General features: G+C 42.1%; 1 protein-coding gene and 1 long non-coding RNA gene across 3 annotated transcripts in view, besides 1 other annotated feature; one reads left to right on the top strand and one right to left on the bottom strand.

Moving 5' to 3' along the window:
- Positions 1 to 27,997, bottom strand: part of NOS1AP (nitric oxide synthase 1 adaptor protein) — a 300,785-nt gene that overhangs the window by 44,507 nt on the left and 228,281 nt on the right. The window contains exon 4 of one of the 2 annotated variants that reach the window (NM_014697.3): positions 25,263 to 25,336. In NM_014697.3, coding sequence (NP_055512.1) covers positions 25,263 to 25,336 — 74 coding nt within the window. The remainder of the gene's footprint in view (positions 1 to 25,262; positions 25,337 to 27,997) is intronic. The other variant, NM_001164757.2, reaches the window with a different exon arrangement.
- Positions 5,590 to 6,159: an enhancer, noted in NCBI's record as "H3K27ac-H3K4me1 hESC enhancer chr1:162289600-162290169 (GRCh37/hg19 assembly coordinates)". NCBI's record gives its function as "activates a minimal SCP1, AML or CMV promoter by ChIP-STARR-seq in naive H9 embryonic stem cells {active_cell/tissue: H9 hESC(naive)}" and the evidence as "EXISTENCE:reporter gene assay evidence [ECO:0000049][PMID:30033119]".
- LOC124904445 (uncharacterized) lies at positions 6,481 to 9,401 on the top strand. Its single transcript, XR_007066701.1, has 2 exons — positions 6,481 to 6,763; positions 8,649 to 9,401. It is a non-coding gene; the product is annotated as an uncharacterized LOC124904445 (long non-coding RNA).

Genomic DNA, 27,997 nt, shown 5'->3' with positions numbered 1-27,997 from the left:
TGTCAAGTGGAAAAACAAAGAGAAATATTTCTTGTTCTCCCAACATCAGTATCTCTCGGTGGGGCTAGGGGAGTCTCCAGTGTGTGGTATAGAGATTTTTCTCTTGAGGTCCTGGAACGCATGGGCATTCCTAACCCCAAAAGACATGCTGCAGCACAGAGCGAAATGAAACCAGCTGATAAAGATAAGGTACCAAGTCACCTGAAGATGGTGGAGACAAAATCAAGTGGTATTCTTAAGGAAAACCTCTGGGAAAGTAAGAAGCACAATGTGACACATGCAGAAGTCGGAAAACAGAATCAACCTGCTGCTCAAGACCAGATAAATGAGGCCTAACTGTGAAGGCATGGTCCTGGGAAATCCAGCATGACTCCTGGTCTCGGGAAGAAGGGTTCCCTAAGCGTCCCAGCCCATGTGATTCTGGGGGGCCCAATGTGTTATCCTTAGAGGGACTGGGGAAAATATCAGAAGGGGTGGTGGGTTGACGAGAGTCTCCAAATGCTTCACTGATAGAACACCACCAGACACTATAGGAAGAATGCACCCCTTACTCCTATCCCCAGCATGCTGCCTGCCTACTGGTGTGTCTTTTTCTCTTCTCAACCAGCCCTGCAGCATGAACACAGTTTCACACTCCTGTCGCAGCTGTTACTCATTCTTTTCCTCATCTATCTTATTTATTTTTAATTTAATCTTTATATAACATTGTCTCCCATCTTGATCACTGTTCTCTCTTATGACTGCTTTGGTCTGATTATCATTTTCCCCCCACTGTATATACAGGGCTTTTTAATCACATCAGCTGGCTTGCTTTTATTTGAAGTTATTGTAATTTCCATCTTCTTCATTCCTCATTTTAGCCATTCTCGATTTGATGACTACCTTCCTCAGGGCTATTTGGCAAAAAAGAAGGGTAATAAACTCATGAAATGGTGCCTGAAATCCCTCATGGAACTGGTCTCCTTACTTCACAGCCTGACTTCCACAGACACCTGAAGTGTGGGGCCACACTGTCAAGTCGCCCCTTGTCACCATGACTGGGATGTATATCACAGATCTGCTTCATCGCAGCACAGTCTGGAAGGAAGCCTGGGATTCCAGGGCTGGGAGAGACCTCGAGAGACAGTCAAGCTCATCACTTCAACTGCAGGCAGAGAAATGCAAATATAAGAGCTGATTCCTAAGGTTTCTTCAATGAATAAAATTATACAAATGTCTAACTTATTGTTACAAAGATCTACTGTGTGCCTAGAGTAACGAATAAGCAACCAATTGAGGTTTTAAGACCTAGCGAGAGCCAGACAAATGCATCTTTATCTTCTGAAAGTCTAGCTAAGGCACCCTCATGGCCTACATCAGCAGTTAATTTATGTTTTAATTTCACAGCTGTTAAGTTTTTTCTTATGTCCCACTAAAACCTCCCCTGCTTTACTTGAATCAACCACAAACCACCACACAGCACTTTCTAAATGCCAAGTACTGGGATAAATTAATTTCTTCTTGTTCAGTACTTGACAGGGAGGCAAAAAAAAAAAAAAAAAAAAAAAAAAAAGGCTAGTGTCCCTCACAAAACCACTACACAAAAATCCTTTCATATATTTCAAGACTTTAATTTCTCTCCAACACTCATAATTTCTCCAAAATAACCATCACCTGCTATTGGCTGTCAAAAACCAAATCTATTTACACAGGCTGCCAATTTATTTCTTCTGTGTGTCTGTGTTATCTGAGTTCATACATGTAGCTTGTTCACATTTGGGGGGCTTAAACCATCCATCCCACACTTTTCAGGACCCTCGGACTTCCTGAGGGTTGTGCTCAGAGACACAACTTCCCTCCCAGAGCCAGAAAAAAGAGAGAAAATGAACACACCACAAATATTAGGGGCACTAGTTTGACTGGTGTATGCTGGAGGAGCATCATCTAGAAAATTACCTCTTCCTCTTCTCTTTTTTCGTTTATCCTCTTGCTTTCAAGCCAGCAAATACCTTCCTTCAAGTGTTATATGCAGAGAGGCATTAGGCAAAATCTTCCCAGTGCAAAATAATCATCAACAAAGGTTCGCACCCTTCCTTGTCCACTCCCCAGTATACACTGAGATGCCTGTAATTTTGTGGAATAGAAGACCTGACAGAACAGAGCCAAAGGCTCAGTCGAGGTTGCAGCTCGTCTGCTTTCTCAAAACAAGTTAATACTCTGAGCCTTAGTTTTCTTAACTGCAAAATGGGATAAGAAGAGGTTCACAGGACTGTTACAAGAATCAAATGAAATAACTTACATATAGGGTCTGCCGCATAGTAGTTGCTCAAAAAAATCTTTACTAAATTGAAGTGATCAAAGAAGAATATTTGCTAATCTATTGTGTGTTTACCATCTGTCAGGTACTGCTTAAGCACTTTACAGGCAAAAACTCATCTAATCCTCACAACAACTGTATGAAGTGGATACAGTTATTATCTCCATTTTACAGATGAAGAAACAGAGAGGTAACCCCTGTGCATTTTCTTAAGGTCACACAGCCAGTAGTATCTGTATTAATTTCTTAGGGCTGCTGTAACAATTATTACAAGTCGGATAGCTTAAAACAACAGAAATTTCATTTCTCACAGTTCAGGAGGCCAGAAGTCAAAAATCAAGGCTGATTCCTTCTAGAGGCTCTCAGGGAGAATCTATTCCACATCTCTCCTAGCTTCTGGCTGCTGCCAACAATCCTTGGCATTCTTGGGTTTGCAGCAGCGTCACTCTAGTCTGCTCCCGCTGCCTTCCCACGGCATTCTGCCCTGTGTCTCCTCTGTCTCTGTGTCCAAATTTCCCTCTTCTTGTAAGGACCCTGGTCATTGGATTTAGGGTCCACCCTAATCTAATATGACCTCACCTTAATTACATCTGCAAACTCCCTATATTCAAATAACATCCACATTCACAGGTACCGGGGTGAGGAACATATCCTAACATAGCTTTCTAAGGGACATATTTCAACTCACTATAGTATCTGCATTAGAATTGGAACCCTAGCAATCTTCACCAAGTTCTGAAAACTGCTGCACCATCTGCCTGATTAATCATCAGATATCATTTGAATATTGAATGTCATTCATTACCCGTATTACTATTGTTTTCTCTATACCTGGGCTAGAAATTAGTCCCATGTTACATTTATGCCACCTGGAAAGCCTGGATTTTTTTATTCCTCTTATGTTTCCAAGTCCTGGATGTCTTCATAGATGTCTCTATGGTCACCAACAAATTCATTCTCATGTTGGTAAGATTTTCAGGGGACACGTGGGTAAGAGGTGCTGGATTTCTTTATCATCCCTGACTGATTGTCCACTTTCCATCCATGTTTCTTCAAATAAACCAATCCAGGGATATGATACACATCATAAGCACATCTTGTTTTTCCAAGGCAGTTGAGTTCCCACTTGAGCGTCTGAGGATTCCCACCATAACTCCCTCTGTACCTGACTCTAACTCCATACCTCTCATGCCACCTGCTCAGCATGTGAGGAGTCCCATGTGCCATGACGGGAAATGAAGAAAGAGTATCCACCTCCTTCCCCAAGCTTCCCAGGGGTGGGAGCATGCCTGGCTGGCAGGTCCAGATACTTTTCTTTTCTAATATTTTTATTTTTCCAGTTGCTCTGACCTGCCTACCTCATGCTGTATCTGAGGAAGAGGAAGTCAGAATCAGAACTCACCTGAAGGCACTTCCTCCCAGGACTTGAAGATAAGATGACAAGCCACTGCTGGTGGCTTGTGTGTACTCCAGGCATCAGCATTTCTAATTCTCACCTGCCCCACCCTCAGGTCAATGTCCAGGCCATTCTGATTTGGCCTGGGACAACTCACTCTCAATCACAATCTAGTGTCTTTTTCTTTTTTGTGTGTTTTTTAGAAATTATTTTATTATTTTAGATGCAGGGGGTTACATTTGTAGGTTTGTTACACGGATATATTGCGCAAGGCTGGAGTTTGGGCTTCTTTTGAACCCGTCACCCAAACAGTGCACGCAGCACCAACGGGAACTTTTTCAGTCCTTGTCCCCCCTTCTCCCTCTTCCCTTTTGGAGTCCCCAGTGTCTGTTGTTTCCATCTTTATGGCCATGTGTATCCATTGTTTAGCTCCCATTCGTAAGTAGGAACATGCAGTCTTTGGTTTTCTGTTTCTGTTTTAATTCACTCAGGATAATGGCCTGCAGCTGCATCCATGTTGCTTTTATATATATATATATATATATTTTTTTTTTTTTAATTATACTTTAAGTTCTAGGGTACATGTGCACAACGTGCAGGTTTGTTACATATGTATACATGTGCCATGTTGGTGTGCTGCACCCATGAACTCGTCATTTACATTAGGTATATCTCCTAATGCTATCCCTCTCCCCTACCCCTACCCCACAACAGGCCCTGGTGTGTGATGTCCCCCACCCTGTGTCCAAGTGTTCTCATTGTTCAATTCCCACCTATGAGTGAGAACATGTGGTGTTTGGTTTTCTGTCCTTGCGATAGTTTGCTCAGAATGATGGTTTCCAGCTCCATCCATGTCCCTACAATGGACATGAACTCATCATTTTTTATGGCTGCATAGTATTCCATGGTGTATATGTGCCACATTTTCTTAATCCAGTCTATCATTGTTGGACATTTGGGTTGGTTCCAAGTCTTTGCTATTGTGAATAGCGCCAATGGAACAGAACAGAGCCCTCAGAAATAATACCACACATCTACAACTATCTGATCTTTGACAAACCTGACAAAAACAAGAAATGGGGAAAGGATTCCCTACTCAACAAATGGTGCTGGGAAAATTGGCTAGCCATATGTAGAAAGCTGAAACTGGATCCCTTCCTTACACCTTATACAAAAATTAATTCAAGATGGATTAAAGACTTAAATGTTAGACCCAAAACCATAAACACCCTAGGAGAAAACCTAGGCAATACCATTCAGGACACAGGCATGTTGCTGCTTTTTAAAGGACTGTGTACCTTTACTTCCAGGCCATTGGCAAACCTTAAAAAAAAGTGGGGGAGAAAAATGAACCCATTCCTATTTGACCTCGTTTTGATTTCCAATTACTTTTTTATTTTTTATTTTTATTTATTTATTTTTTTGAGATGGTGTCTCACTCTGTCACCAGGCTGGAATGCAGTGGTGCAATCTCGGCTCACTACAACCTCCACCTCCCTGGTTCAAGCGATTCTCCTGCCTCAGCCTCCCGAGTAGCTGGGACTACAGGCGCGCGCCACCACGCTCAGCTAATTTTTCTATTTTTAGTAGAGACGGGGTTTCACCATGTTGGCCAGGATGGTCTCGATCTCTTGACCTTGTGATCCTCCCGCCTCGGCCTCCCAAAGTGCTGGGATTACAGGCGTGAGCCACCGCTCCCGGCTCCAATTACTTTTTAAAAGTCTTGTATCTTTCTTTTGGCAATGTGGGGAGGGGGTGGTTGGAAGGCAGCATGTAAGGACCCTTCCTCTTCTCTTTTCTCAAGTTTATCCTTTTGCTTTCAAGCAAACGAATACTTTCCTTCAAGTGTTATATGCAGAGAGGCATTAGGCAAAATCTTCCCAGTGCAAAATAATCATCAACAAAGGTTTGTACACTTGCTTGTCCACTCCTTGTCCACAAAGGGTGGAGAAATGTGAGCAGAAGGCTGTGAAGGAGGCAAGTCCTTGCCTGAGAATTCCTGTTATTTTCATCTGCTGTATGCCAGAAGCTCTTTTCTCATTGTCTCCCCACCACCGAAAAGCAGGTGTCGGGGTGGTCCAGCATGACCTCTCTTCTAAGATACGCACATCTTACTCCGTACCCCGCCCCCCTTGGCCCCATATTGGCTTCTCCAAGATACAGAGCTGAGTCTGCTTCAGAGACTGCCCTGAGGAGCTCAGGGGGTACAGACAGGGTGTGGCAAGTGCGGACAGAGGAATGGAGCCAGTGAAACGCGGAGGAGGATGCAGCCAGCTGCCTGTGGGAACTGGGAAGGCACACAGGGAGCTGCTGCCTGAGCTGTGACTCGAAGACAACGTGGGAGGTGGCAGGATTGTGGGGTGGGGAATGTGTCAGTCAGGGTCCTGGCAGGAAACAGAGTATGTGAGTAGGCTGAAGAGAGTTTAATACAGGACTGTTCACAAAGGTGAGGGCAGTGCAGTGTCCCTGGGAGCCCTCAGCACCCCAAGTCCAGAGAGGCAGGGCAGGGAGCAGTTTCCAGAGCCAAGAGAGGAAGAGCTGTGTGCCATCTGGCAGGAGCTCTCAGGACAGGTCTACACAGGCCAGCCTCCCTGGGCACTGAGGACAGTGGGGAGGGCTGCTGAGCAGATCTGGGACAATGGAAATCTATCCATCACCGAGACAGAAGAGCAGGGAGAGCCCTTGCAATGGAAACTGCATGTGGAAAGGCATGAGGTCATGAGGTAGCACAGTTTGCCTGGGTACAGGGATTGCAGGGCATACAGAAGGACTGGTGGGAGATGGGGACAGAAGGAGGTCAGGGCCAATTGTGGAGAGCCCAGCTACAGAGCTCAGACTTCACCTTGTGGGCTCAGGGCAAGGATGGGAGTCTAAGCAGGGGGATCACATGGCTGGTAGTCATGGTGGTGTGGAGGATGGATTGGAGGAGGGCAGGAGCAGAAGGAAGGCCACCAAGAGCCTACTGCAATACAGAATGCTTAGGGGAATCAACAGAATCTGGACCTGGGGCTTGCTGTCAGAAGAACCGGACTCAAATCCCCATTCTGCTGCTTACATTTGTGAGCTACTGGGTGAGTCTTTCAATGCTCAAGTTTTAGTTTTCTCATCTACAAACAGGGGAGCTGTTGTGAGAATTACAGTTTGGGAAATAAGTGCAGGGCACCTGGGCTCAGGGCCCTGAATGACACACCTGGAGCGATGCACAGCACAGTCTATGCAGCCAGACAAACCAACCCTGAGTCCAGGCAAGAAACACTGGAGGCCTAACAAAGGCAGGGGCAGCCACCATGGGGAGAGCAGGTGGACACAAGAATCATTTCTCTGGGTGTGATAATGAGAGGGAAGGATATGATTCTGAGCTGTGTAACTTGGCAGATGGACTAAACATTAATGGGGTCAAGGGCCACAGAAGGAAAAAAGAACTAAGGAACATGGAAGGAGGAGGAGTGGTGTGGCTCTGGACAGGTCAGATTTGAGAAGGCAAAAGCCAGATGGAATTGTCTAAGAGGCAATTGGAAATAAGGGATGGAGGGGATAGAGTGTGGGGGCAGAGGAGCATAGACTGGGATTTAGAGGGTGGTTGAAGCCATAGGAAATACGACATCCCCTGAGGATCAAGAAGAAGAAGAAGAAAGGGGGCTCATTGAGAGAATCCCACTAACAGTACCCATTTAAATGGAGGGCGTAATAGGAGGAGTCAGAAAAAAAAATACTGAGCAGAAAAAGACCAAGAGATCTGAGGAGGAACAAGAGAAAACAATCGTGGAAGCTGAGGGAGCAGAGAGTCTCCAGAAGGGTGGAAAGACCCACAGCATTAAGTGCTTCACAGAGACTGAATAAGATGCAGACAGAAAGCGAGCCAGGGATTCTGCAACTAAGACATCCCTGGTGGCCTTAGCAAGAGCAGTCTCAGTAGAGTAGCTCAGGAAGCCCAATTAAAATGAGCTGAAAAGTGAATGGGAGTTTTGGAAATATAGATAGCAAATGCAGTTTCTCCAAAGAGTCTGGCAGTGAAACGGCAAGACAGGATGGTGGGTTTGAGGGTCATCTTTTCTTTTTAGGATGGCAAAACCTAAGCCTATTTATAGGCTAGAAAATAAGGGACAAAACAGAAATAGCCTCAAGATCTAGGGGAATGTAGGGAAAATGATGGCTCAAGACAGAGACAGCAGAAGGCAGAGTGCAAGAAGAGGAGCTCGCCTGGGGTCCGAGACAGCACCAACTATGAACCTGCCACTAAGGTGGGGGCCAGTCCTACCCCTGGCTTGTATCCCTCTCCCTTTCTTGGGCAGTATTTTGGTGGCCCTTATGAAGTAGCTAAGCCTTTCCCTGCGAGAGAGCTAATGCCGTTTTGATGTGGAAGTAGGAGTGGGGCTGGTTAAGGCAAGAGGTCAGTTTAATGTTTAGTAAAGTGTCCTGATAAAAAGCAAGGGCTGTTGTAACTGCCCCAGACCTGCATTTCACCCATCTGTTACTGACTTCCCTTTCTCATAGGAAGGAACCAGAAACGTGACATGGATCAAAAGGACAGTACGTGAAATCAAAATCATTTTGCTGTTATTTTCTTAGAGAGGAGATTCATATGAATTCCTCCTGGCTCTCAGGACCTGAGGGATGGGGCTCATGTAGATATACGAGGGCTGGAAGGGTGGGGAGGCCTAGCCAATACTACATGCTCTCTTGGGATCTGTTTATGAGTCTTGCAGTCTCTCTTTTACATTTAGCTTTTCAAATTCCCCTTCATCAGCTGAGGTGTTTGACAGGCTAAATTGTTTCCTTGGGGTTTTGTCCTTCTCATGAGTGAACAAAGGTAATCAAGAGAAATTTAGGTTTAACTCTTTTACTAAGAAAATTCTTCTTACATACATATACACATACAAAAAACTTTGGTGTGTGTATGTGCACGTGTGTGTACGCATGTGTATATACATATATCTCTCTATATATTTTTAACAGTGTTTGAGTCTGAGGACACACCACTGGCCCAGACCCTGGACGGCTGCTCCGACTCTGGAAGGAAATGCACCTGCACTACCTCATCTCCCCCAGCAATCAGGTCCATCTCCAACAATTAATTATGTGCTGATGGGAGACACTGAGCAACGATGAGCTCATGTGTAGATCTCATCTGTCAGGGGCTGCCATTCTGAGGTTCTTCTTGCTCACCTCCTCCAAAAAACCTTTTATTGGAGCAATTAATACAAACAAGATGAACACATTTACCCTTTATGATGGCTTCATTTCTCCCACCCACCCCCTTATCATTATGAATTATCAGTAAAAACTGCAACAAATGAGACAAGAGATGAGGTCAATGTCAGGCCTCTGAGCCCAAGCTAAGCCATCATATCCCCAGTGACCTGCACATATACATCCAGATGGCCTGAAGCAACTGAAGATCCACAAAAGAAGTGAAAATAACCTTAACTGATGACATTCCACCATTGTGATTTGCTTCTGCCCACCCTAACTGATCAATGTACTTTGTAATCTCCCCCACCTTTAAGAAGGTTCTTTGTAATTCTCCCCACCCTTGAGAATGTACTTTGTGAGATCCACCCCCTGCCCCTAAAACATTGCTCTTAACTCCACTGCCTATCCCAAAACCTCTAAGAACTAATGATAATCCCACCACCCTTTGCTGACTCTCTTTTGGGACTCAGTCTGCCTGCACCCAGGTGAAATAAACAGCCATGTTGCTCACACAAAGCCTGTTTGGGGGTCTCTTCACATGGACATGTAAGACAGTCAAAGGCCAAGATAATCCACGAGAAAAGATAATCAGGCCCTAAAGCAAAGAGCTAACTGCACAGCAGTAGCTGGACAGGACTGGCATCCTCGGCCAACCAGAGGAAGGAGGGTGTGCATTTTCAAAGGCAGCTTTGCTTAGTGGTTAAACCCACAACATCAAGAGGTGCTGGGCTCTCTTCCTGAGCAAAGCTGAACAAAGTCATTCGACTTCTTGTTTCTCAGTGTTCTCAACTGCGATGCTGTCTTTTTAGTATTATTTGTGTGCTGCTTGTTATCTTCTATTAGAATATATGTTCTGATGTTCTAATGTTAACATTTTTTGCCACTGTTCTCAAATACCTTCACATATGGGCTGTGTTCAGTGCTCAACACACTTTTTTTATATAGGTGGGTTGGTTCATTCATTCGTTCGTTCATTCATTCATCCACTCAGTCCCGAATAAAAGTCTACAGAATGAGTGTAATTAATTTCTGGGAATTGTGCAAAAGTTTAATAAGTCAATTACATGGAATAAATACGTATTGAGCCCTATTGTGTGTGAGACAAGTGGTTAAGGAGCCCCAAAGATAGATAAGATACAGTTCCTACTAAAAACTATGATAGATAAACTACAATAAAAGGATAAACTTAAGGGCTGTATAGCACCTTAGGGTCCAAAGGACAAACCTTAATTAGATCCCCACTGTGGGGGTAGGGATGAAATCAGGAAAGCATTCCTGGTGGATGTGTTATTTACAATAAACGTTGAAAGATTAATAAGAATTTGACAGGCAGAAATGTTAAGCCAAATACAGAGGACTCCTCAGTTAATCATGGTTTGATCATGGTGACTGCCAGCAACTGGGAAAGGCTGTAACTCCTCAAAAGCCAGTTCTCAGGGTCTCCTGATAAAGGATGTGGAGACTTGCAGATAACCCAGCTTTTTCCACTCCATCTTTCCCAAATTCTGTGCTTAACCCTCTGGACCTCGCAGTCATCCTCACCTCTCCAGTTTGAGGTCTGCCACCAGAGAGGAAGCCAAGGCTCACAGTCTGATTGTGGTCTCAGAGGTGTGACGCCACCATCCTTCCTCCCAATTGTGCCAGGACACAAGATGGAAGCCACGGAAAGCTTACCCAGTCAGGCCAGAGGACAGGGCACTGTGGCAGTATCTAGACAGGTGTTTAGTGCAAAATGCTCATGCTGCGGAGTAAGCTACAACACGGTCCTACTACAAGCCCAGAGGTTATCTATTAATATTAAAGGTTTGTCAGGCAGGGGCTACAGCTCCAAATCAAGACCAATCTTTATTTACCTTTGGGGTTAGGGTTGGCCCTTTACTCTGGCCCTTTACTCTAGGCCTTCACATGGTCCTTACATGTCAGTGTAAAACCCAGGCCCTAGGCCAACATTCCCATCATCCATGTGATTCCAAGGACACTGAGGGTAACATAAAGGTCCCTCCTAAGCGAATCCTCTTCCCTTTAATAATCTGAAACTCACCAACATGAGATTGGTTTGTTTTGAATGACTCCTCTAACAAAATGCAAATATCTCTTGGGAAGGTAAATAAAATTTATTAAGCATTCAAACATTAAATCATTAATAAAGTTAGATTGGTTTGTTTTTTTCTCCTCCTACTCTTACTTGAGCAGTAGAAGAGCCAATGCTAAACCTTCCCAGCTTTAGATGCAAATATTCAAAGATGATGTTCAACACTTACTGGCAAAATAGGAGTCTTACCTTGGAATTCATAAACATGCAGGACTCTGGGGTACATGAATTCTCCTAAAATTCAAAACTTTGCAAGAATGATTTTTTTCCTATGGAGAAAATACAGTTTTCAGCAGATTCTCAAAGGTATTTGTATCCCAGAAAAGGTCAAGACCATCTGATGGACTCCCAGGCCAGTGCCAATTTGGTAACAAGGAGAGAAGACAAGGAAAGAAGTGTTTGTTTTATTTTGCACACACTTTCCCTTCTGAGATTCTTCAATGTTTTGCACAAATTCTAAATTGATTCCCTTTACACATTTAAGAAGAATAAAATGAAGCACAGAGTAAGGAAATTTGACACCAGCCAATCATTTTGTTGTAGAACTGTGACCAGCCTGTTTCCCTGCTCCCCTGTTACTTTCTCCATAGGGTAATTCCCTCCCTGGCAAACAGTATTTAATTTTGTGAAGTTTTCTAAAGGTGGCCTAATTTAATTTTCCATCATTAGTGTAAAAGATGCCCTCTAGGGCCAGGCCCAGAGAGGCGGATCCAGAGGTTTAATTTTGATTGCTTTGGTAGCTATTTTCAGTTTCCTGCTGTGCAGGTCTATGGGCTCTCTCATGAGCTCCCTGCCCTGGGGGCTGTGATAACCCTTCCCAGTTTTAGATACAAAAGGGTTATGCAAGGGTAGAAGACAAGGCCACCAAAAGGATAAATCAGCTTAGTAGCCTTTTTGAGATGAATATTTTAGTGCAGCAAACAAGCAAATCAAGGCTGCCCCAGCTTTGTCGTGAAGTATGTATTTATTGAGCACCTACTATACACTAAGAATCCTTCTAGGCACTTGGGATGCAACAGTAAAACATGCATGGTCCCCACCCTCATGGAGTTCATGCTAAGAGTTACCATGACACAAATTTCCATGTTTCAGGATGACTGAATTTAAAATCAAGCGGGAGGCCAGCAGAGGCAGAAAGCCCTCAGAAAGGACAAAGGTAAAAGCACTGAAGCTTCAACCTGAGATCACTGGGGCCTCCTTTCCCTCCCTCATTTACTCTATATTCAGACACCACTAGTCTGAATGGTCCATGCTTAAAACAGCCCACAGGCTGACTGCTTTCTATGCATTTCTACTGCTGTCACCCAGTTTGGCCAGACCCAGATACTCTCCCCATTACACTCAGATCCCCAAGCAATCTCTCTTCAGTCCATCTCACTGACAGGAGTTTCTTTCCATTTGGGATGAGTTGCATTCCAAGCCAGACTGGTTTTCCTAAAATATCACTTTCACTTTGGAACTCTCAGAGCCAAAGCCATCATGGGAAGACTGCAAGTATAGATGTGGGAGGCAGCTCTTGATATATTACTGAGAGAAAAACAGGATAATTTAGAACTAAATGTAGAATATTAGAGTTTGAAAGAATATCCGAGTGTCAATATATTTGCATATGGAGCAGTACTAGGAGGAATAGGTGTTGAAGAAAGAAAACGGACACTTTCCTTTATAAAACTCTTCACTACTTTATTTTTAGTAACAGTTATGTATTATTTGGTCATTTTAAAACTTATGCCTCACCTTCCCCTGAATATTTATCTAAAAACTATCATGGAAAGTTTAATAGAAGTCACAGTGAGATCCTTGAGGGCATGGGAGACACCCTGTTTGTCTTTGCATTCCAAGCGCTTTCTACATAGAGGCATGAAATGACTTTTGAAAAGAAAGGGTGAATAGGAGTGGTGAGAGAGGGCATCCCTGTCTTGTGCCAGTTTTCAAAGGGAATGCTTCCAGTTTTTGCCCATTCAGTATGATATTGGCTGTGGGTTTGTCATAGATAGCTCTCATTATTTTGAAATACGTCCCATCAATACCTAATTTGTTGAGAGTTTTTAGCATGAAGGGTTGTTGAATTTTGTCAAAGGCTTTTTCTGCATCTATTGAGATAATCATGTGGTTTTTGTCTTTGGCTCTGTTTATATGCTGGATTACATTTATTGATTTGCATATATTGAACCAGCCTTGCATCCCAGGGATGAAGCCCACTTGATCATGGTGGATAAGCTTTTTGACGTGCTGCTGGATTCGTTTTGCCAGTATTTTATCTTAAACGTTAGACCTAAAACCATAAAAACCCTAGAAGAAAACCTAGGCATTACCATTCAGGACATAGGCATGGGCAAGGACTTCATGTCTAAAACACCAAAAGCAATGGCAACAAAAGCCAAAATTGACAAATGGGATCTAATTAAACTAAAGAGCTTCTGCACAGCAAAAGAAACTACCATCAGAGTGAACAGGCAACCTACAAAATGGGAGAAAATTTTCACAACCTACTCATCTGACAAAGGGCTAATATCCAGAATCTACAAAGAACTCAAACAAATTTACAAGAAAAAAACAAACAACCCCATCAAAAAGTGGGCGAAGGACATGAACAGACACTTCTCAAAAGAAGACATTTATGCAGCCAAAAAACACATGAAAAAATGCTCATCATCACTGGCTATCAGAGAAATGCAAATCAAAACCACAATGAGATACCATCTCACACCAGTTAGAATGGCAATCATTAAAAAGTCAGGAAACAACAGGTGCTGGAGAGGATGTGGAGAAATAGGAACACTTTTACACTGTTGGTGGGACTGTAAACTAGTTCAACCATTGTGGAAATCAGTGTGGCGATTCCTCAGGGATCTAGAACTGGAAATACCATTTGACCCAGCCATCCCATTGCTGGGTATATACCCAAAGGACTATAAATCATGCTGCTATAAAGACACATGCACACGTATGTTTATTGCGGCATTATTCACAATAGCAAAGACTTGGAACCAACCCAAATGTCCAACAATGATAGACTGGATTAAGAAAATGTGGCACATATACACCATGGAATACTATGCAGCCATAAAAAATGATGAGTTCATGTCCTTTGTAGGGACATGGATGAAATTGGAAATCATCATTCTCAGTAAACTATCGCAAGAACAAAAAACCAAACACCGCATATTCTCACTCATAGGTGGGAATTGAACAATGAGATCACATGGACACAGGAAGGGGAATATTACACTCTGGTGACTGTTGTGGGGTGGGGGGAGGGGGGAGGGATAGCATCGGGAGATATACCTAATGCTAGATGACGAGTTAGTGGGTGCAGCGCACCAGCATGGCATATGTATACATATGTAACTAACCTGCACAATGTGCACATGTACCCTAAAACTTAAAGTATAATTAAAAAAAAAAAAGAAAACAAAGGGTGAAAGAAAGAAGGAGAGAGAAAAAGAAAGGTCTTGGACACATGTGCTAATATGTACATATAACTTGGAGCCACCATGCCTCCAATGATTTATAAGTCATTAATCCCTTGCTGGAGACTCATCATCCATTGTAGGTATTAACTGAGACTCACTAAGCACAAGGGACTTTTTGCACCCTATAAGGAGGGATAAACACTACAACCCAGAACTTTCCCTTCAGGAAAGATAAAGAATACATATAACTATGTAGGGTTGAAAGCAAACAAAAGAGAAGGAGGCAAAAAACAGAAATAGGAGAAATGAGAAGTGGTAGATGATACTGCAGGGCAACACAGAAGAACAGAGGAATGTGCTGGTGTGTTTGGAGGTGTGGGGAATGCAAGGGTAAATGTGGAGGGAGCCATTTCTGTGAAGTAAGTGGTGGAAAGCAAGGCCAGGCCATGAGGACCTGCAGGATGGTGGCCCTGACAAAGACATACCCAGGGCTTTGGAAGAAAGGGAGGGTTAACAGAAGATGGGCTCTTGGGTGGTGTTAGCAGGGTTAAAAAAAGGAAAGGAGAGAGCTGAACATATTTGTAGGGAGAAAGAGGGTATCCAGGAAGACAGAGAGACAGAGCATAGTTCACAGCTCAAGATGCTGAAGAAACAAGCGAAGATGGGTCCAGAAGAGAGAGAGAGAGTCAGCGAACAGAGAGACAGTTGGCAGTGACACTAAGATATTCTAAGGGAGGAGAGGACAGCTGAGGAATCTCAGAGAGGTGTGGGGGTCACCTATGGAAAGTGAGGGTATACAGGGTTGACAGGTAGAAGGTAAGAAGGGCATTATGATGGGTATTATCATCTACCAGGATGAATAAGGGATTGCTAAGTAGCCCTGGGAACTAACAGAAGCTAGGCAGCATGAATGGTATTTCCTTCCCCTTCTTAGTTCATAAGATTCTCCATGCGTAAAATTGGGTAATTCCTACTCATGCATATGTATGAAAAGGAACTATCAATGAAAGGTTTTGAAGCCGGAGGAAATAAAAACATCAACTCTACATGAAACATGACTCATGACTAGAGTGATGGACACTCATATCCGCCAGATGGGCTGGCCCAGAAATGATATGAGAAGTTAGAAAGAGATCTATAGGCTGTGCTGCCTCCACATCCCTGATGATCAGTTTCCTCAGTTTAGCAAAGGCTGCTCAAAAACCTTAGGCAATGCGAGGCTGAAGGAAGAGAAAACACTCAACCTTACAGAAACAGTACAGAAGGTGCAGATGTCACCCCATCACTTATAAACCACACAGAGAGCAAAAGAGACATGTATATATCATAAGCAAAGAACGGGGTATACCTCATTCCCTGATTTTTTTTATGACCCTTTGTGCCTTTGACCCCTTCCAGAGTCTAACGGGAATGGAGAAAAGGGAATGCATTCCGGGATTTGAGTTGGAGCGTGGGGCATGTGAAGATGTGGAAGAAGGGAAGATATAGAGTCATCTCTGTCTGGGAGGTCTCTGATTTTGGAGGGACAGCATGGACTTTGGAGAGGTATCTTAAAGATATCCTTAAATCCTGAGAGTGCTTTTTGGCTCCACAAAACAATACAGTGACTAAATATTACAGCATTTCCCTTATCTCATAATTATGATTCCACTTACATATCCCAGGTCAGGATTGTATATAAGCACATTTTGAAAAAATAATAATGCTTAAAATTACACATACTTTAAAAACCTTCCATCTTTATCCCCATAGGACCTTTTCATCTTCCCTTTATAAAGGCATTACTAGCTCCTCTTTTTAAATACATATTTATTTGATCTCACTATTAAGTTGTAATTCATCATAACATGGCTCTCCTTTCTTTCACTACCAAGTAACTAAACGGCTGTCCCCAACTCCCTACTGAAACTGCTCTGCAGAAGTCACCTGATAAATGCAAGTCTTTCTTCTGTCTGTACTCTGAACTACTCATTCTCCTGTAAGGATGGATGCCCTTTTTGTTTATTTCCAAGTCTTTACAAAAGCTGCCCAGGATTTCTTCTACCTTACTTCCATAATAAAAAGGTATTTAAGGAGTACTTTCTAAGCTTCAGCACTTGATAAGCACTTAACTTAGCATATTCTTAAAGATAATTCACTGTCTTCTGCCTTACATTTTTTGCCATCAAAAAATTATTTCTTTGTAGGCAATATATTTTTCCCCTTCAGCTGGTTTTAAAATCTTTGTCTTTAACATTCTGTCATTTCATTACTGAGTCTAGAGTTTAAGAACTGATTTCTTGTTTACCTTGCTTGTAGTTTGATATGGTTCCTGAATCTCAGCATACTCCTCTTTCCTGAATCTTGCTCATCTTGATCATTTAAACTCTTGATTGTTAACTAAGTGAAACATACTACATGGGTATCCTGATTTCCCAAGAAATCCCAAATATCACAGAATAGCTCTATAAAATCCCCATTTACCTTAAAATGTAGTTTGTCCTGTATTTTTATACATAATTTTTATAACAAAAACAGAGTATGCAAGCTTATGAATGAGGCACCTTTAAAGGTGGATAGCACTGAGCACAGAGGTAAAACAAAATGGGCAAAAGTGTGAGTGCCAGACAGCTCTCTAACCATGCAGCAGCTGTGTGACCATGGGGAGGTTGCCCGATATCACTGAAGCTTAATTTCTGTCTTAAGAATGAGAATGATAGATTCTACCATTCTACCACTCAGGGTTGCTGGGATTAAGTGAAGTAACACATGTCAAGTTCTATCTGACCATATTCCTTGAGGGTAGGACTGTGTCCTAGTAACCACCTGTACCAATTTATTGCTACTCAGCTCCAAATTTACCTTTCAATACAAGCTCTGTGGTAATGGACGGAATTCCTTTAAGCACATCTCCTGTACAGCAGCACGATGGTAAGATTCCTCTGCAGAATGGAGGGGCAACACTGCAGAATGAAAGGGCTTCCCTTGGTCCGACTGCTACACAGCCCATCAGTGGTGTGGATATGAGGATGTCCAGTGGTATGCATGCCCAGAACACACATCCCTCAGTGACCTCAGCACCAGCCCCGCCTGGTTATCACCTCCCTACAGCCCTCCTAAAGCAGACACTAGGTGTTGTGGGCCTCCCATCCACAGTGATGCTCTAACTCTCTCTGCTAGCCTTCCCCCTGCCCCCCAGGTTTGTTTCTCACAGCTCTCCTGATGTAGACATCACATACTCTATGTCTCTTACCCACAGCCATACCCCAACTCCACCTGTGTGCCCACTCACCAGCTGCAGATCACCTGATCCAAGCCCTGGAGGATGGCTTTCTGTTTTCCCTGCACCTGGGACCAGCTCTGACATAGGCAATCTGGTGAATTTCTCTGTCACTAGTAGCTGTAATCATATCTTCTACATTAATGTCTAAAGGGCATCTTGGGAATGGGTCTACTTTCCAAATTTGTGCTGCCTTGAGTACTCTCCTCTTTACACTTTGTAGGTACTCTTTTATTATAGTTTAATAGTTCTTTATAATAAATTTCTTCTGTTTAAATCACTGCCTGGTTTCTGTCTCCTGATTGGACCCAGGCTGACATACCACTGTTTCCCCTAGTGCCTAGCACAATGAACAACAAAACACATTACCTCTCCATGCAACCCTTCTTCCCTTCTCTAGTTAGCCCTGAATAATTTAACTTTGACTTGCTCAAAATCAAAACAGATCAATGTAGAAAGCCAAAGTTGGAATAGACTTCTAATTCTTTTTTTTTTTTTTCTTTTTTGAGACAGAGTCTTGCTCTGTCACCCAGGCAGGAGTGCAGTGGTGCAATCTCAGCTCACTGCAAGCTCTGCCTCCCAGGTTCACGCCACTCTCCTGCCTCAGCCTCCCAAGTAGCTGGGACTACAGGCACCCACCACCACGCCTGGCTATTACAGTGTATTTCTGTATTTTTAGTAGAGGCTGGGTTTCACCCTGTTAGCCAGGAGGGTCTCGATCTCCTGACCTCGTGATCCGCCTGCCTCAGCCTCCCAAAGTGCTGGGATTACAGGCATGAGCCACCGCGTCTGGCCTAGACTTCTAATTCTTAATCATGTCACTATTTGGATGTTAACTGATGCCATTTCTGGAGACTGGCTGGAACTCCTAATGGAGACTCTACCTAACTTGATCATTTAAACTCATAACTGAAGAATTACTTCCATTCTGGCTCCTGAAGACTTCAGGTCAGATTAATTTACTCCCCCTAGTTTTAAAAAGGAGTTTTGTTTGTTAGTCTATTCACTCATTTCAAGGAACATAAACAGCCTAGGGACTAATTTAGTCAAACATGTTAATTCCATCAGTGTCCACCAATAAGACTAGGACAAGGGATGCTAAGGCAGGAAAACTGAAACTCAAAAGCACAGTGACTTCCATAACAGAACAACTACTCCAATACTATTTAGTTTATTTTTTTCTAGGAAGCATGCCCTTGAAGCCAGAAAGAGTAGAATAAGCAGATTAAGAAAGAAAAGGAAATCCAAAATGAATAAAAGAGAAAAAAAACAAAGTCTCTATTTTCCAGGCCTACCACTGTTCTATTCAACAGCCTTATCGGTGACTTGGATGAAACTATTTTTTTTTTTTTTGAGACAAAAGTCTCACTCTGTTGCCCAGGCTGGAGTGCAGCCTCTGCCTCTCAGGTTCTCACTCTGCTGCCCAGGCTTGGCTCACTGCAGCCTCTGCCTCCCAGGTTCAAGCAATTCTCCTGCCTCAGCCTCCTGAGTAGCTGGAATTACAGGCACCCACCACCATGCTCAGCTAATTTTTGTATAATTAGTAGAGATGGAGTTTCACCACTTTGACCAGGATGGTCTTGAACTCCTGACCTCAAGTGATTCGCCCAACTTAGCTGCCCAAAGTGCTGAGATTATAGGTGTGAGCCACCAAGCCGACTGATGAAACTATTCTTATTAAAGCTGCACTTAGCAAAAAACTGGGAGGGAGAGTTAGCCTATTACTAGAACCTGATGTGGTGGTTTTATACCGGGTCAACTCACCTAGGCTAGAACTATGTGTCTGAGCATTCCCTCTCCTATTTTACGGTTGCCCACAAGAATAATTTGTGGGAGATTTGGGAAGTGGGAGTGAAGCAGCAGCTATTATGTGCTGGAGGTCATAATAGCTCCAGCTATTCTGGGAGAGAATGGATGTCAAGGTGCCAGGGAGTTGTTTTGCTTAAGTCTGTCCTCACTTTTCTCTATACCTAGCTTGGCATCAAGCTCTCCTTCATGACTATTAGCCCTGCTGAACAACAGTCAGCTCAGGCCCAGCATCAGAAACTTCACTGCAAACTCAAAGGTGGTTGCCATGAAGAGCCAACAGCCTTCCGGAGACTTCTGCACCTGTCCCCTTTGCAGTTCTAATCTAGCACATGGATGTGGCTGGCTTCCTGCACATTCTGACTCATAACCCACACCAGGGTTGGTTAATAATTGTTCTCTGAGCCTTTCTAGACTTTTTACTTCCCAGCTCCTACTGAAATTGTACAGGTCCAAATCCTATAGCAAATTCCTTATTACAGGACACTCACAGTCATCCTGCTTCCCTGATTGAAATCCTGATTCACAAGGATTCAAAAACTGAAGAATAGTCTCAAATCAATTACATTTAATTGAACATTAATATATGTAAAGTTTTATATTTAGGCTAAAAAACAAAGAAACCTATAGAAATAAAGAATGAGTAAAACCTGAATTAAAAACAATTACTGTTATTATCCCGAGGAGTTTGAACTCCAACTCCACTATGACCTAGGACCAATCACAGTTTGCTAAGCAAATAAATTACACTGGATCTAATTCATACAAAATGAATGTATAACTTCATATTGTGGGGGTAAAAATATGTCTTCCACATTTTACACTGATAAGACAGAATATCTGGGATATTCTATTAAACGCTAATATTTTAAAGAGGAAATACTGTTTTCTGAAATTAAGAAGTCTAGAAAAATACCATAAGAATGGCTTCAGGAACTTGGGTTAACTTAAAAGAGAAAAAGATCTATATATTTGTGGCTCCAGAGATAAGAGCTAGGATAAATGGAAAACAATTATACATTAAAAAAATTTACTTTCGTTTAATGAAGAACACTGTAATAGCGAATCACTTCCTGTGATAAAGAGGTATACTGTAATAAAGGATAAACTGAAAAAAAAAAAATAGGAGGAATTGGTTTAGATGTCCACCATAGTGTTGTTAACCTCTTCAGATTCCATGATGTTAGAGGTGACCGGGGCTAAAAAAAGGGGGTGATGGCAAGTTACTACTTAACGGGCACAGAGTTTCTGTTTGGAGTGATAAAAAAGTTTTGGAAACAGTGGTGATGGGTGCACAGGACTACCAATGTAATTAATGCCACTGATTTGTATGCTTAAAAAATGGTTAAAATGGCAAAATTTATGTTATATATATTTATTTCACCACAATTAAAAAATATATGATTCTGTTATTCTATGTGAATAATGCAAAAGATTTAAATAAAAAATTTGACTTAATAAAAAATTAAAAATTCATTCGTCTAAAATGAACACTTCAGTAAGCCAGCGTTTCATAAAGCCACAAACAATTGTATGTATTCTTCAGCAGAGCTAGTGAATCAAACCAGAGTGGTCCCTTCAGGGCAGAAAAATAACTGTACCCATGAAAAGCTCATTTGTAAATGTTACCATATTATCATAATAAATAACCTTGTTCATGATAAAATGGACCATATATATTTTAGAAAAAAGTCCTCATACACACACACACACACACACACACACACACAGATATAAAAATTCACATGTACACAGACCAAAACATCACAATTTAATACATGAAAAAAAGTACCCAGGACACCGAAAACACAGGGACTAAAGTTTATTTCTTTGTTTTTAAACACAAGTTGCTAAATTTTGATAGACTAGAAAGACATCCACAAGACTATCAACAATCAGAGAGCCTACTGTGTGAGTTTTGAGGCCAAAGAAAAATTCATTTAACATTTAAAATGTATTTGGCATTCCCCATTCCCTCTAATATTTCTTCCTAAAAGTGAATGGATGGAAAAAGACATACGATACTAATACTAATTGAATAAAAAAACTTTTTTAAAAAAGAAAGAAGACTATTACTACCTGATTTCAAGAATTATTAAACTATGGTAATCAAGACAGTGTGGTACTAGTGTCAAGACAGACAATTAGACAAATAGGACAGAATAAAGAGTCCAGAAATAAACCTCACAGAGACGGATAACTGATGTTTAGCAAAGGCACTATAGTGGAGAAAGAACAGTCTTTTCAACAAACAGGGCTAGAACAACTGGACATCCATTTGCAGAGAGGGAGGGAGAGAGGAACAGAGAGAAGGAAGAAGAGAAGGAAGAGGAGGAGGAGAAGGAGAACTTTAATCTATTCCTCATACCACATAAAAAATTGAATCAACTTGGATTATACACATAAACTTAAAACCTAAATTTAAACTTCATGCTTTAGAAGAAAACAGAAAAATCTTTGTGACCTTGAGTTAGGTACAGATTTCTTAGCTATGACACCAAAAGCACAATCAATAAAATTTTAAAAATTAACAAATTGGACTCCATCAGAATTTAAAACTTTTGCTCTTTAAAAGACACTATTTAAAAAAAAAAAAAAAAAAAAAAGACAAGCCAGACTTGGAGAAAATGTTTGTAAACCATGTATTTGACAAAAAGTCTTACATCCATAATTTATAAAGAACTCTCAAGATTATGAAAACAAAATGGGCTAAAGATTTGAACAGATGCTTAAAAATATATATACAAATGGCATGTAAGATCAAGAGAAGGCTGAGTGCAGTGGCTCACGTCTATAATCCCAGCACTATGGGAGGCTGAGATGGAAGGTTCGCTTGAGCTCAGCAGTTCAAGACCAGCCTGGGCAACATAGTGAGGCCCTGTCTCTACAAAAAATTTAAAAATTAGCTGGGTGTGATGGTGCACATCTGTAGTCCCAGCTACCCAGAAGGCTGAGGGGAGGGAATTGCTCGAGCCCAGAAGGTTGAGGCTGCAGTGAGCCGTGATTACACCACTGGTACTCCAGCCTGGGTGACAGAGTAAGACCCTGTCTCAAAACAAACAAAAAGATGATATTTAATATTAGTCATTATGAAAATGCAAATTAAATCACAATGAGATATTAATAAACACATATTTGAAGAGTTAAAATTAAAAGGACTGACAATACTGGATGTTGGCAGATATGGAGGAATTGGGACTCTTGTACACCACTGGTGGTATCCCTTTAGAAAGTAATCTGGCAATTTCTTTAAAAGTTAAATGTATACCTATCATATGAGTCAGCCATTCTGTTCCTGGGTATTTACCCAAGAAAAATAAAAGCATATGTCCACGCAAAGACTTGAACATAATGAACATATGAATGTTCATTACACAAACATTCATAGATCCTTTAATAGTAACAGCCCAAAACCGGAAACCACCAAAATGTCCATGAACACATGAATGGTTACGCAAGCTGTGATATACCTATAAAACAGATCATTGATCTGTAATAAAAAGGGATGAACTGCTGATACATGCAATGACAAGGAATGAATCTCAAAATAAATTATGCTGAGTGAAAGAAGCCAGCTCCTCCCAAAAAAGAGGATATACTGTTGATTCTATTTACACAAAATTCTAGAAAATGCAAACTCATCAATAACAGAAAGGAGATCGTGGTCGCTTGGGGATGTGGGGATTGAGATTGGGGAAAAAGTGGGAGAGAAATGAGGAGAGAAGGGTTACAAAAAGCACAAGGAAACTTTTGGGGTGATAGATATGTTCACCATCTTGACTGAGATTTATTCACCAAGTTATTCAACTTTAAATATGTTTGATTTTTGCATGCCAATTATACCTCAATGAAGCTATTAAAAATAAGCAAAGTCAGCAGCTTACTTGGGACATGTGAAAACTTTGGGGAAAGTCCTTTCTTTCAACCAGGAAAAGGCAGAACTCACTCATGATCAGCATCCATAAGGAAGTCACTTTTTTCCATATATGGTGCCAGCATTAAGAAAATAAAGCCAAGAAACTCTTCCTTTTACAAAATGCATATCATAGGTGCCTGCCCATTCACATTCTTCAAGCCAGCTTCTGATGCAATCTGTTTCTTAAAGCCTTTTCTCATCACTCAAGTAGAAGATAATTGTTCCCTTCGATGAATCACCATAACACTTATGTTAATTTTCAGATATTAATTCAATGCATTTATCCATCCACCCATTGCACATTTATTAAGTGCTTCATTTGGGCCAGATGCAGGTTTAGCGCTAGATATACAAAAGTGAGTAGAAGGGCATAGATTTTTCCCTCAAGAGCCTAACAGGCTAGTGGCAAAAAATTGACATTTGTTTTTTAAAAAAGTAACAGAAACACTATAACAAGTATTTCAAAAAAACATTAAACAGTACTACAGGAACACAGAGGCAGAAATTCATTCTGTCAGACATACTATCTTATACCTCAGTAACTTGTCCATTTCCCACTAGTCTAAAACTCCCTGAGAACAAGGGACTGCAACTCATTTAGTTTAGTAATCTATGAAATTACCTAGCACAGTACCTGGCATGAGTATTTCACACCTGCACATTGTTTGGATGAATGGACATTCCATTTCACAAGCATCTGCTCTTTAAAAGGCAGGGCCACCATGCTGCCAACTTCACACGTTGAGTTCCAACCCTTATCCACTTTGTCAACAAAAGCATGGCAATAATTTGAGAGCGGACAAAATCAAAACCTAAATCTACGTCCCCAAATTCCTAAAGGAATGGCCATTCTCCCAATGAGGAAAACAGGAAGGAAGTGGGGCTTAGTCTGCCGAGATCCAGGACACAAGAATGACACCCATGACTCGAGCTCCTGTCATGGTTCCTGGGAGAGCCTGGCTTTCTATATGTTCTTGCTATCTGATATATTCTTCTGCCCAGGACAATACACATGGTTGGCAGCCATCTAATCTCTAGAGGAATCATACCAGTCTCCTTGTAAAAGCAATTTCTGGTTGTGTGTTGGTTCGGTCTGCTATAATAAAATACCAGAAACTGGCTGGCTTATAAATAATAGTTTATTTTTCACAGTCCTGGAGTCTGGGAAGTTTAAGATTAAGGTGCTGGCAGATTCGGCATCTAGTGAGGGCCCACCTTCTAGCTGTGTCTTCCCATAGGGGAAGGACATCACCATGGGGCTAGCTGGTTTTCTGGGGCCTCTTTTTATAAAATAAGGTCACTAATCCCAAACATGAGGGCCCCACCCTCATGACTTAATCACCCCCAAAGGTCTCAACTCCTAACTCCATCATCTTGGGGGTTAGGATTTCAACATACAAATTTTGGGGAGACAAAAGCATTCAGACCTGTAGACACATTTGTGACTTTCGATTACTGCATGAAAGCTCTTATTACTATGCTCAGTTTCTGAAGGGGTAGAGAGGTGGAAGAGATAACTGTGGGAAATTGTTAGCATAGGGTGATGGAATAATCCAGTTTTCTTATTTTGATCAATATATGCAATTTTAGAATTTCAATTGGGACAACACTAGCACAAATTTAAAAGGTCTCCAATTACAACCGAGAGGTTTAAATTAAACATCAAGCAGATATACTTCATAGCTTCCTTAATGCAATCAAGCATGACCAGAATGATAAGGCAGATTTACTTCTTGAACTCACATCTAATGGAAGCAACAGGTCTCAGGAGGGAAAAGCATAGAAGTTTATTTAAATTTGCCTGGATCCACCAGCCTGACAGGTGGCTGTAGGGGGCAGGAGGACTCTGGGGCTCAGTGATATCTTGGGTGCTGGACTGGGCTCTTACCTGTAGATGGGGTCCTGCATCACCAGCATCTTGCTCTCATCCCACGTCCATTCCTTTTTCTGCAATAAAAGAAGCTGTAAATGAATAAGTTAGGCTTGTCCTCAGTTACAGGACCAGGGCACACACTGAGCTATGCATACTTATGCAAACACATGCATTTTGCTCCTGACCTGACTTTTTCCCTCTAAGAGGCCTGGAGTTGATTGCTCCAAAACGACGAGTGCAAAATATCAAGTGTCTAGTCTGATCAGTTTCCTCCAAGCACTTTAGGAGAGTGCCTCTCCAGGGCTCAGAGGGTAGGCAAAAGCCAAGAAGTCCTTAGGGAACTCGGGGTGAAGTGGGGACGTAATGTGAAGCTCCAGACAAGCTAGGTAGGTTAATTGGTACATTTGCAGAGTGACCCCTAAGAGGCTATTCATTCTGGCTGTAAACCTAACTTACAGTGAACACAAAAGAAACCCTCTAAGCTAGGAATGAGGAGTTGGAGGAGAGTGGATTCAATCGTAGTGCTTGCTGAGGTGAGAAGCACCCCAGTGTGGGGGGCCATTAGGGTCAGCGGCCAACTACACCCTCTCAGGCTCAACCTCCAGGTGCAAGGACAGAGAATCCTGCTCTACCTTCATCCGCCTTTGTCAGAGAGACTTTGCTGTCCAGGGAAATTAGGGAAGAACACATTCATCCATGAAAGAAGGACTCAAGAGGGGGGAAAGCGCAAGGGGTATACAGTGGATTAATTGAATGCTTTTAGCTATATGGATTTCTCAGAGATAATGCACAGGGTGGCCACTCTCTAAACATACTGGGCTTTGGAGGTTGTTAAGCCCCCACCGGGACTAGGGGAGATCATGTCCAGGCTCTTACAGTGACATTAGGAAGAAGCACTGTCAGCAGCTTTACCCAAATACCATACTACGTATGTGCGCGTGCACACACAGACACACACACACACACACCACATTTAATCCCTGAATTTTGATTAAACACCAATATGATCCATAGAGGTGGATTTTAGACTGGTTTAAAAACATCCAATATCAAACACTGTTTTATAGACAACAAAACTTCAGTTACAGCCAAAAACTAAATATTTTTTTAAAAAGATACCTTCCTATAATTGCTACTGACTACCCTATAAAATTTTAATATACGAATTACCTATTTGGAGCAACACAGAAGGAGACTAATCTCTTTTCTAAGCAAGAACCCCTTCAAATACATAAACAGAGCAAGTCCAGAACATCTTTATACTAAATAATCCCAGGTTTTGTAAACATCCCTCACTAGACAAGTCTTCCAGACTACCTGCTACCATAGTGAATTTTCTTTGTATGTATCCTACTTACCAGTGATCCCCCCAAAACCTGGTAAAATGAACTGGATCCCTGATCTGCATGGCATAGAGACACAGCCTTTTAATGTTCCAGCCACATAGAGACACAGCCTTTTAATGTTCCAGCCATGACACTCCTCTTAACCCAGCAGATTGGTTTATAGCAGTTTTTTTAATGACCTCATAATGAGCACACATTAGGCTGCTTTCCAACTGATGCACTGAAATTCTTCAGAGTTAAAGTCCAAATATCTGCATGCATATTGTAAACATCCAATATCATTGTTCTCCATAGTAGTCCTTCAAACAGCAAAATATAATAATATGCTTAAAAGATGGTTTGATCTCAGGGCAAAATCTTTATGACATAAATATTAAATTAAGTCACATCTATAGCCGTGACCACATATTCTACCTGCACTTTTAATTTAACGCAGTTAGCAATGTTTATGAAGGTGTGGAGTCCATCTACTGAGTTTATTTTAGCTATTATATTTTTCAGTTCTAATATCTCTATTTGGTTATTTCTTTTTCTTTGCTGACACTCTGCTTTTTCATTTGTTTTAAAAGTTTTTGTAGCTGCTCGTGGAAGCATTGTTGTGATGGCTCTCTCAAAATCTTTCTCAGATAATTCTAACATCTCTGTTATCTTGGTGTTAGCACCAGTTGATTGTCTTTTTTTTACAGAAGTTGAGATTTTCCTCATTCCTGGTATAGTGAGTGATTTTCAACTGAAGCCTAGACATTTTGAGTATTGTAAGACTCTAGATGTTATTTAAGCTTTCTGCATTCACTGTCTTACTGTGACACTAAATAGGGGAAGGAGTAGGATGCCACCTTATTACCCCCAGAAGGGAGTTAAGGCTGGGTTCCCACTCTGCCTCTGCTGATCCTCATTACTGCTGGGTGTGGGTGGGAGTTCTAGGTCCCCACTGGGCTTCCAATTACACCACCCTGGTTTGTAGGGGTAGGAGTGCCTTGGAGTTCCCACATGGCATCCGCTGACAACATGCATAGTCAGTGGCTTCATGACTGCAGGTCAGTGGTGGAAGTGTAGCTTCTCCACAGACACCACATGGGAAACGGGAGCAAGAAGGGTGGTGTGGTACACTCATTACCAGCTGGCAGGGAAGATGAGCCTGGCACCCTTCTCAGCCTTCTGTGGCACCACCTGGAGGGGGTGTTGGGGCACCTCATTACAGCCCAGCAAGGGTGGAAGCCTGGGCTCCGGCTCAGCCACGGGGGCCTGGGTGCCAGTGAGGACGGTCTTCCGTGAATTGTTTGGCTGGAAGAGAGTGGTTATTGTGGACAGTTTTCTGCCTTGTTATGTTGCCCCTTTTCTCCTCTTTGGCTGGAGAGAGCAGGCTTTTGTTGGGGCTTTTATGCCTGTTCCCACTGGCATGTG

The sequence above is a fragment of the Homo sapiens genome, chromosome 1 (genome assembly GCF_000001405.40).
Source record: "Homo sapiens chromosome 1, GRCh38.p14 Primary Assembly".
NCBI lineage: Eukaryota > Metazoa > Chordata > Mammalia > Primates > Hominidae > Homo > Homo sapiens.
Note: the sequence above shows the minus strand (reverse complement) of the source record. Positions and strands in the feature narration are given on the sequence as shown.